Source organism: Homo sapiens, chromosome 20 (assembly GCF_000001405.40).
Source record: "Homo sapiens chromosome 20, GRCh38.p14 Primary Assembly".
Classification (NCBI taxonomy): Eukaryota; Metazoa; Chordata; class Mammalia; order Primates; family Hominidae; genus Homo; species Homo sapiens.
In genome coordinates, this window is record NC_000020.11 from 12,504,565 (window position 1) to 12,515,564 (window position 11,000).

At 40.2% G+C, this 11,000-nt stretch overlaps 1 long non-coding RNA gene across 1 annotated transcript; it reads left to right on the forward strand.

The window, feature by feature from the left end:
- The first annotated feature begins 757 nt into the window (after positions 1-757).
- Positions 758-10,711, forward strand: LOC107985407 (uncharacterized). The gene is made up of 3 exons (XR_001754499.2): positions 758-1,785; positions 2,301-2,365; positions 9,257-10,711. It is a non-coding gene; the product is annotated as an uncharacterized LOC107985407 (long non-coding RNA).
- Positions 10,712-11,000: the final 289 nt, after the last annotated feature.

Consider the following 11,000-nt stretch of genomic DNA (forward strand, 5'->3'; position numbering starts at 1 on the left):
GTGGCAAAGGAGAATCAAAGATGGAACTTTGAATGATTTGATCTCAAAGGTGGGAGAGAGAGGAGTCCTTAGTTCAATTTACTCCTGCCATTAGTACTCCAGGGATAGCTAGAACTCTAGGGTCCAGGGAATATTGTCAATGAAAAACGAGTGTGCAGATTTACAAACAGAAAACGTATAGGTAACCTTTTGAAATATGACATTTGAGAACCTCTTGTGTCTTTTTATTTTTTGGAAGAGCAAAATCTGTTTTTATTTTAAACTTTTATAATTTGAAACTGTAAAGAGATAAGTGGATGCTGAAGTCTCTCAGCCTTGCAACTTGAGGTTTTTAAGAAACTGACTCATCAGGAGATTTGGACCTGTGGTTCAGCTTTGCGTGTATACACTTTTGTTGCTGACTTTAATGTTCTTTCAAGTGCATTGGCCTTATCTCTTCTGCTAGTCTGGAGGCTATCTGGTATCTCAGATGGTGCTTTTTCAGTGTTAGCCATAGAAGCTAGTATTTTGTTTATAGTTCCATTGGTTGTTGACACTTTAGTACAGGGTTCCTCAACTTTAGTGTGCATCAGAATGGTCCAGTGAGACTGTTACAACAGATTCCTGGATCCTAATTCTAGAGACTGAAATGTGTTAGGTCTAGGATGGAGCCTAACATTCTACATTTTTGACATACCCCTATCCTCCTCCAAGTGATCCTCATATTGCAGGTCTTTGAACTACACTAGACACTTTGGGTAACATTGTCTTGGAGTGTTGCTGCATTCTACAGTCTTCATGTTCACTTTGCTCTGGAAGATTCTAGTCTTAGTTATAATCTATTGTTTGGTCTACCAAAGTAGAGATGCACCAGATTGCACTTAAAATCCACTACACAAGTCCTCAAGGCCTCAGTAAAACCCTCTGGAAGCCCTTTTGTGTCTGTTATTCTTGGGTCTTTAAGCTAACAGAACCTGAGATGCATGTACCTTGGGATGGCTGAACAGACTCACTGTAGCAGTGGAAGTAGGAGGGACAGGAGATATGTATAAAATACCAAATTTCAGAAATGATTAGTTTTGTTTTTCACAGAACACAAAGGAATCAATTTAAAAGACTACTTGATCTCATCCCTATAATTTCATTCTGGTGTACAAGGAAAGTAATACACACTGCTGGAAAGGAGATGAAACATGGCTAAATTAAAGCTACGTATAATCCAAAAATCTTTTAGATCTGGCTTGAAATTCAACCATACCCTCACCTATTCACAGCCCCATTTTGGGCCTGGCTCTGGGAGATCTCTAAACATAATGAGACATTTGTGGAACAGGGGTAAGGTATGGGAAGGCAGGGTGGGTTATGGGAGTCAGGCAAGCTTAGCTTCTCTGACCCTCTGTTTTCTCATCTGGCAGATAGAAATGTTATATACAGAAGGTTCTTACAAGAATGTTATTCATACAGAGGTTCTTAAAAGAACCTCAAAGAGTTCTTTTAAGCATTGCATGTAAATATGTGTATAAACAGTATAAAATCTAGAACATCATAATGCCCAGTTAATATTAGGTTTTTTTTTAGTGATTTCTGCCCATAAAGTTGGAAAAACATGGGGACTGAAGAAAGAAAAGATTATTAAAAATTGCAAAGTGGTTAATCTCCTGGCACATGATTTATTCTATTTTTTTAAAGGCTACTGCTAGCTCCAAAGACTGGCCTAGAAACTGAAGTTACTGGCAACAGAAATTCTAAAAAATGGCATCAAATTTTCAAAGTAGAGGGACACATCTTGGATGTTAAAGATAAGAGGTATAATACGGATGGAAAATATTTATATAAAGTCTTCAATATTTGACAATTGTCCTTAGGAGCTCCTAAAATTTCAAAGTAAGGTGCAAATTATATGTAATTGACTAATAAGGGAGTCTGACATAATATAGCATATGGAAAGGCAGTGGAATTGGAAGTTGGGTTTTAATTCCTGTTCTACCCTTAACCAGCCTTGTGATCCTGGTAAAGTCACTTAACTTACTGCCAGTACACACACACACACACACACACACACACACACACACACACACACACACACACACTCCAGGAAGACCAGCTAAGTGACTTACAGCCCAGAAATATTATCCTTTGTTCAAAGTCATCAAGGATATACTTAGCTATATACTTAGCTAAATATTCCCATGAAAAAAAATGCTTCAAAGACAAAATATGAGGGAAATAAAGTTTCGCTATTGGGATGCTGATCTTTATATGACTGTACTCTGTAGCTCTGAAGACAGATATTTTCTGAAAGTCTTTCCTTCTTAACTTAGTCCTAGGTTGCTCTGCTCACAGGAGGACATTAGGAGGAGAGTGGGTCACTTAATCCTTCATCGAGGTAAGATCTCTTCTATTCATGCTATGAAAATGGGTCTACATCAGACTGTTCACTGTAGGCAGTGCCTACTGTGTAGAAAGAGCTCAATAAATGTTTGTAAACTGAATGATGAAATGGATGAATGGCAAACAATTCAACCCCAAGAAGGTTACCCCAGAGAGTCTATACAAATCAAATTGTAAAAATTTTCACCTTGCTGATTCTATGTGGACACAGCCTCAATTTCACCAGGGCCTGAAGAATAATTACAATGATCATTCATGTCTCCATGTCGAAATAAGGCATAACATTCAAACTTTCCCAAGGTGTATTATTGCACACACTTCATTTTGGAAAGGTTGATATAGTAAATTAGCAGCTCCACCACAAGGCTAATAAGGCTAATGAGAGGTATTGGTAAAATTGCAGCCATAGAAAATAAGACATTCTTTCCCATCATGAGAAGCAAAATTGTATAGCAGAAGGCCATGCATGGAAACACATTCCGTGACAAGCAGACCCTATCATCATACTTTTTGCAAAAGTGTTTTCCCTCTCTCTTCATGTATTAATTATTCAGTATTTTGTCTTTAAAAATAACATTGAGTGTGAATTATGTGCATGACACTATGATAAATAGTATGGGTGATAGATAACACATAAGTCAGTTTCTACCTACAAGAACTGCACAGTAAGTTGAGGACATAAACATATGCACACAAAATCTACACGTGAAATGTCTGATGGTTCCTATACTAAGTAGGGAGAGGCCTAATTACTAAGATTTCTGATACCTGCAAGTATAGAGTCAAGGGCCACCATGTTGGGTAGGAGGAGGTTGGAAAGGTTGAAAATATGTTATAATAAAAATAAACAAAGTTGAGGTGGAACATCTCTGGATATCTGTGGGATCAAGTCAGTTCAATAATCATGAGGTGGAGAAAGTCGTGGGTCATCCACAGAGATGTGGCACTTGTGGTGACTAACAGTAATAATAATAACTGCTAAGTAGAGTAAAAGGAGCACTGGTTTTGGAGTCTAATCATGTACATTGGAACTCCAGTTCTGTCAATTACCATGCAACTAAACTTGAGCCAAAGCTATGAGCATCAGTTTACCAATCTGTTAGTAGTTGATAGGTATCTATCTCAGAGGGATCTTCAAAGGAACCATTGTGGCAGTATTTAAAATAAGAAACCCTTTGCCAGTACACAGGGAAAAAAGAAAAAAATTACATTTCTAGTACATGAATGAAGTTTAGAAGTGGGTACTAAAAGGAAAGCATAGAAACACTGTCTGGGTGGTGAGAGGCTCAGATTTGTCTCATGCATTTGGCTGAACCAGTCTAGACGAGGCTGAGTCAATAGGGTTACCCGTCTCCAAGACTGATGTTTGAAAGATAAACAAAAAGTCAAATAATCCTAACACCTATCACTGCCTTGTTTCAGCCTGTATGTCCCACTCAATGTGTTTAGCTTCCATTTGACTAGTTAACCTGCTCAGAGTGGAAAACTGAATTGGATCATTCAGCCCTTGCTATTTTTATGTTTGGATCAATTCAATTTGGCAGGAGACACCGAGGAAAGTAAGCAAATGACTGCCAAATTTCCACTTATCTTGGTGGAAATATATATACAAATCTTAGCTCTGAATAAAGGTATATCTGTGAGGGGGGGTATTGCTAAAGGGTGAAGAAGTTTCTAGAAAAAGAGGCAAGAGTTCTCTCAGGTTATCTTATTCTTGGAGAATTTTCACCATGCACAATGCATCCATCTATTTAAGTTATTTATGCTATAACCAGCAGCCTCCCTGGATTTCATTCCACTTCTGCCTCCTAAATGACTTCCGAACCTGGCTCACACTTTTCTTTACCATCTAATAATAATGATAACGACATCTACCAAACAAGGCATTTTGTTTTACATTTTACAAAAGCATTTTCACGTAATTATTCATTTAAGTCCCCTAAAAACAATGAAAGGTTGACATTGTTATTTTTACTTTAAGGACAAATGGGAGACTAAATTTAGAAAATAGAAAAAGGGAAAAATACAAAGTCAAGGGTGGAAAGAGGAGGGCAGCCTCCTAGAATTAAAAACACCATAGGAAGTAACACTGTCCAATGGATGTTATACCCCAGTGGCCACCAATTTTTGATAGTTTGTGAGGTTGAAGTTTGCACCTTCTTTTGAGAGCCTACAACCAAATGTTCCAAGTCTTCATACTAGCTCAGATTGGCTAATAAGGACCCAAGTCTCAAATCCTACATCATACTATCTCCTTGTGCCCCCATGCTTGAGATCTCAACCCTCTTATCTAATAACAAGACCCATTTTTGCCAAAACATGCCATTGAGTGCAGGAGGGGCAATGGTATATGGTGGTGCATGACAGAAAATCCTGATTGTAGAGCAAAACTATACAAGGAAGAAAAACAAGGGCACGAAGTTGTGTCGGGGGAAAAAAATGTCAGGATGTCAGGCACTGATTAGATCACAATGTATTTCTGCCTAAATGCATATCCCATTACCAAATATTTTGTGATGCATACAAGGTTCTTAATAACACTATGTCCATCCACAAGGACTTGTTTCTTGAGTTCTTTTCTTCTGATATCTAAGAAACTAATTATCCTTTGATACACACTAAGGACAGATGGGTTCAGGAAAATGATAAACGAGTAAGAGAGAAAGCCTATAAACAATAATTTGACGCTGCCTCTATTTCATTTGCTTTGTATTAGCATCCATGGCATATATTTTTCTTTAAACCAATGTTTCTTACTCAGGATATTTAATTCAGATGAGTTTCTTGTCCCTCTGAATTCTTACTTCATCTTTGCCCTTTTCTGCCCTTTACTTACAGGATAAAACTTCCCACAGATAGGGGAATCTATCCTGTAGATCTTTAGAGCAGAGTTGGTTCATGCCTTCACATGCAAAGACAAAAACATAACCCACAGAAACCTTTCTAAATACTCTATCTCAAAGTACCCTAACACAAGTAGCTGATTGCCTTCCCCACTTCTCACCATCCTTCCCTTTCCACCCACAGCTTCTCACTGAACTTTATTTCCTCTTCCGAGGTCTTTGCCCACCTTTTTAATGGCAGAGGTCTAGAGGTGGTTGTTAACTTGTAAAACCTAAGAAACAATCCGAGAGTGAAGGTAGGAAGGCTTGATCACCAAAGGAGAAAACACAAGAGCCTGGAAGCTCTCCGGGTTTAGGGGATTGGAGATTCATCTTCCTCTTTGTGCAATGGGAAAAAAGACAGAGAGAGAGAGTTGAAAGCTAGATGGGGTTATTGGGTATTGTGATGGTTAATATTGAGTGTCAACTTGATTGGATTGAGGGATGCAAAGTATTGTTCCTGGGTGTGACTCTGTGGGTGTTGCCAAGGAAAATTAACATTTGAGTCAGTGGACTGGGAAAGGCAGACCCACCCTCAATCTGGGTGGACACAATCTAATCAGCTGCCAGTGCGGCCAGAATAAAAGCAGGCAAAAGAATGTGAAAAGATTAGACTGGTTTAGTTTTTTGGTCTACATCTTTCTCCCATGCTGGATGCCTCCTGCTCTCAAACATCGGACTCCAAGTTCTTCAGCTTTGGGGCTCAGACTGGCTTCCTTGCTCCTCAGCTTGCAGACAGCCTATTGTGGGACCTCACCCTGTGATCGTGTGAGGCAATACTCCTTAATAAACTCCCGTTTATATATACAGCTATCCTATTAGTTGTGTCCCTCTAGAGAACTCTGACTAATACAGGTATACAGTGGGACTTGGTGGAAAATGGATCCAGACACTATGGGGAGGAAGTGGGTGCAAGGAGCTAGATGAAAATAAGGATACGTGAGGATGTGAGAGGGCTTCTTCTTAGACCCTGGTCTGGAAGCTAGAATCAAGCTGGGCATTGAATTGGACAACACAACTCCCCCAAATAATAGGTAGGGAAGTCAGATGAGTGAAAGCATTTTCTCCAGGGGAGAAAAGAGGAAATGCAGAGCGTAAGTGCAGGCATGGGCTTAATCAAGAGCAGCACTGCCCCAGTAAATAACCACAAATATTGGCTGCAGCTGTGGTTTACTTTTATTAACCCTTATGTTATTCCAAGTCCAGAAAATATCTTCACAGACACAGTTTCTGATGTGTGGTTCTCTGGTTTCTAGTTCATACTACAATTACACAAAGAAAGTAGAAAAATTACATGATAAATTTTTTTTTGTCTCTCTGTGGCAATATGAATTATTCACCTTAAAATTTTTCTTTCTTCACTTAACTTTGGAATGATAGAAAAATGTTGACTTTAAAAATAAATGGAGAGAATTGAGAGACAAGAACTCCAGAAGCACCTAGTCTTTATTCACTGATGTGTTCTTGTCCCAATTCTACCACATTACAGTAAATGGATGCCTTGGAACCCTTCTTAAAATATCAACATTTATTATTTAACATCTTTTCTAAAATGCATGACTCTACTTTGGGCAAATAATTAAATCTTTGATCATTTATGTACTCATGGAGGCCCAGAGGCAATCCTTCTAAATGCCAGTTTGTGCATAATACTGTGACAATAAATAAAAGAAATGTAGGATTTCAGCTGCAAATGCATGCCTGGTCAGGCATAGAGCTTCACTTTGTTTTGTTTTTGTAAAAAATCTTTTGTATATCTTTATTCTCATATTGATTGATTTTTAGGATTCATTTTCCTAAAGCAGAGAAAAATAAATATTGGGCGAGAACTCTACATTGCAGATTTTTAGCCAAGGAAGTTTCAATTACGTCATGCCACTCTGCCATGTGTTTTCCACCAAGGCCTCCTCATTACTTCTCTTCACTCAGGGATGCCACTCCTGTTTAGGTCTCATTCTACCTCTCGGGCAATTCCTGCCCAGTCTCCTTGTCTCTACTGCCTCATCTCACCAACCTCTAATGCAGTCTTCCAGGGCTCATTCCAAGGAGAGTTTTGCTGCTCATACTCACTCCTTATTTGATCTCATCCAGTCCCTTTGCATTTTGATGGTTCCCAAAATTACATCCCCAGTCCCAACTTCCCGCTAGGCTCATTATTCCAACCACCTGTTAAGTGCATCCATTTTGAGAGCTAAAAAGACATCTTAAAGCAAACATAGCAAAAATTAAACCGTGGATGTTTCTTCCAAATCTGTATCTCCTATAGTCTTTTCAGTAAATGGCAAGTCCATTTTTTCAGGTGCTTATATCCAGATCCTGGAGTTATCCTTGACTTTCACTCTGCACATTCAATCCATTAGAAAAACCTGCTGCCTCAGCTGTAGGATTTATCTAGACTCTCACCACTTCTGCCTTTCACTGCTAGGAGCCGAGTTTGCATCAACATCAACAGCAATAGATGTGTAACTCTCTTTCCTTTCTCCCTTATGCTGTGTACACAAAAGCCAGAGCAATTTTTTGAAAATGAAAGTCACATCATGTCCTGCTCTGTCTTAAACCCTCTACTAACTCAACTCACTTGAACTAAAATTTTATGGTCCTGTGAATCTAGTCATCTGCCACCTGGGTTCAACACTTTCCCATCATTTACTTCAGTCCTGCCTGGTTGATCTCCCTGCTGTTTCTTTGCTCTGCTTCTTCCTTGCGGTCTTTGCACAGACTGTTTGTGCTCTTTGAAATGTCTTCCCCCAGGAATATAGTTTATTCCTTCAGGTCCCATAAGCCTTTGTTCAAATGTCACCTCATCAGAGACTCCTTATTTAACCAAACTATTTAAAGCAGCACCCCTCTGTCCTAGCCTGTTTTGCATTGCTATAAAGGAATACCTGAGGATGGGTAATTTATAAAGACAAGAACTTTATTTGGCTCACAGTTCTGTGGGCTGTACAAGAAGCATGACACCAGCCTCTGTTTCTAGTGAAGACCTAAGGAATCTTCCAATTATGGCAGAAAGAAAAGAGGAAAGGGAGCCTCACATGGTGAGAGGAAGGAACGAAGAGTGGAGGAGATGCCAAGCTCTTTTTAACAACTGGATCTGGTAACTAATTGTAAGAATGCACTCATTATGCAGGAATGGCACCAAGCTATTCATGAGGGATCCACCCTATGACCCAAACATAGGTCATATGGCAGTTGCACCAGGCTCCACCTCAAACATTGGGATCTCATTTCAACATGAGACTTGGAGGGGAAAATTATCTGAACCATATCACCCTTCCTGCCCACTCACTCTCCATTCTTTCCCTGCCTTATTTTATCACATAGCCCTTATTTCTATCCCCAGGTATATACTTCCTATTTTCCTATGTATTGGCTACCTCCTCAGTATGATGTCAAATCCCTATGAATAGGCACTGCTAGTGTTTTATTCACTGATAGCTCCCCAGTGCCTAGAGCAGTGCATGATTCATAATAACGAATCAATACATGAATAAATTGGCTTTTTTTTTTTTTGAGAGGGAATTTTGCTTTTGTTGCCCAGGCTGGCTCACTGCAACCTCTGTCTTCCAGTTTCAAGTGACTCTCCTGTCTCAGCCTCCTGAGTAGCTGGGATTACAGGCTCCCACCACCACACCTGGCTAATTTTTGTATTTTTAGTAGAGACAGTGTTTCACCATGTTGGCTAGGCTGGTCTCTAATTTCTGACCTCATGATCTGTCCGCCTCAGCCTCCCAAAGTGCTGAGATTACAGGCGTGAGCCACTGTGTCCTGCCAAATTGGCCTATTCTTATTTAAAAATGTCCATGGGTAGGAGATCCAGAGGGAAATTAGAAACCCAGGATTGGAAAAAGATTGTTTTTGAGCCTTGCTCTTCAAATTGTGGCATCACCTGGGTGCTCAGTTCATTCAAAATGCAGTTTCAGGCCCCCAACCCAAACCTATTGGAATAGATTCTTCAGTTAAATCAGTCAGTTAAAATCTAAAGTTGATTTTAATTGTTCCAGGCCACATTGGTGTTATTTCATCCATTTTGGTGGGCATTGAGATGACATGGCTGTAGCTGTATGGGCCTCCTCTGTACCCTGGAGCAGGTATGGACTTCAACATTGAAATTGGTAGAGCTCACAAATACACACTTTAACAAGAGGTTCTCTAGTCACACACACTGGAGTAAGAAGCACTGTACTAGAATCCCCAGGTGGGTCTCTATCTTTCCTCGATGAAACACCTGATCCTGTTTGAACAAGGTTGCTGATTGTCTAGTATCTCACATTGGGTGATCTTTCAATGTTTTCTGCCTTCCAGAACTTGTGACCTATAAATGGTTGATAAATGAGTAAAATGACTTGAGTCAGGGAAACTAATAAGACCAGGTATCCTGCTGTCATTCAATCTTCGACATAGGAAAGACCTATCCAGAAGACTCCGCAGGGTCTTGAGAGTGATGATATTGCACTCTCAAGATCACTGTGCCCTATCAAGAAGTGAGTTGCCAGTTTAAGCCAAACAAGTGTCCATTGAGAATCACCACAGGCTCAGCCTTCCCACTGTCATGATCTGAGAAGACAGGTACTGTGTGTAACAGAACTTAACGTTCAGAGGGACAGAAGGGAGACAAAGCAGCCGCATGTGCATTGCACTTTATTCTTCTCTCTGGTGGTCTTGCAAAGAGCATCTCGTCTCCTGGTAGCTGCTATAATTAGTATCTTATTATCTTGTCACTGTTCAAATTTGATTTGCTAAATCATTCTGAACTTCCCTGACAGGCTGCTGATGCAAGGTCAGAAAATAACATTTCATACTTATTTTAGGCCAGCTTCCCTAGAAGCAGGGTCTGAGATGGGGATTTAAATGCATATGATTAGTTGGGAGAGTGCTCTTAGGAGAAAGGCGGAAAGTAGGATAGGACAGGAGAAGAAACTCAGCCAAGATGTGGTTCAGCTGAGGTTTTATCTCAGCCTGATCCTACAGGAAGCTATAGAGAATGAAGGGCACCGGAGACCAAGTCGTACGTTGAGGCAAAGAGGCTGGTCCTTTGAACCCTCTTGCCAATCAGCTACAGATTGCCCCCAGAAATTTAGTGTAACCCCATAACCTCCCAGATATTTCTCAGTGAGACAACTCCTCTAGACCAAGGTCTCAGTATAAGGAGGAAAGCAGTTATCTGGAAGCAAACAATAATCACAGCAACAGGGGATGGGGCTCCTCAGGTGAAGTGTATCTTGACAATACTTACTAGCAATTGTTTAGTTATTTTAGGCAAAAACGGAAACTCTTCCAATTTTAGATATTAATTTTTTTAAATTTCATTACCCTTCACTGCTTCAAGTTCAATATAACTATTAACTCATTTAATCCCCATGACAACCCAGGAATGTATGCACTATTGTTTTCATTTTATTGATAAAAAACTGGAAGCACTAAAAACCTTGGATATTTGCATAAATTACACAGCAGAGGTAGACATGAGATTGGGCAGTCTGGCTCCAGATTCTTTTTTTTTTTTTTTTTTTTTTTTGAGACGGAGTCTCACTCTGTCGCCCAGGCTGGAGTGCAGTGGCTCGATCTCCGCTCACTGCAAGCTCCGCCTCCCGGGTTCACGCCATTCTCCTGCCTCGGCCTCCCCAGTAGCTGGGACTACAGGCCCCCGCCACCACGCCCAGCTAATTTCTTTTTGTATTTTCAGTAGAGACGGGGTTTCACCATGTTAGCCAGGATGGTCTCGCTCTCCTGACCTCGTGATCCGCC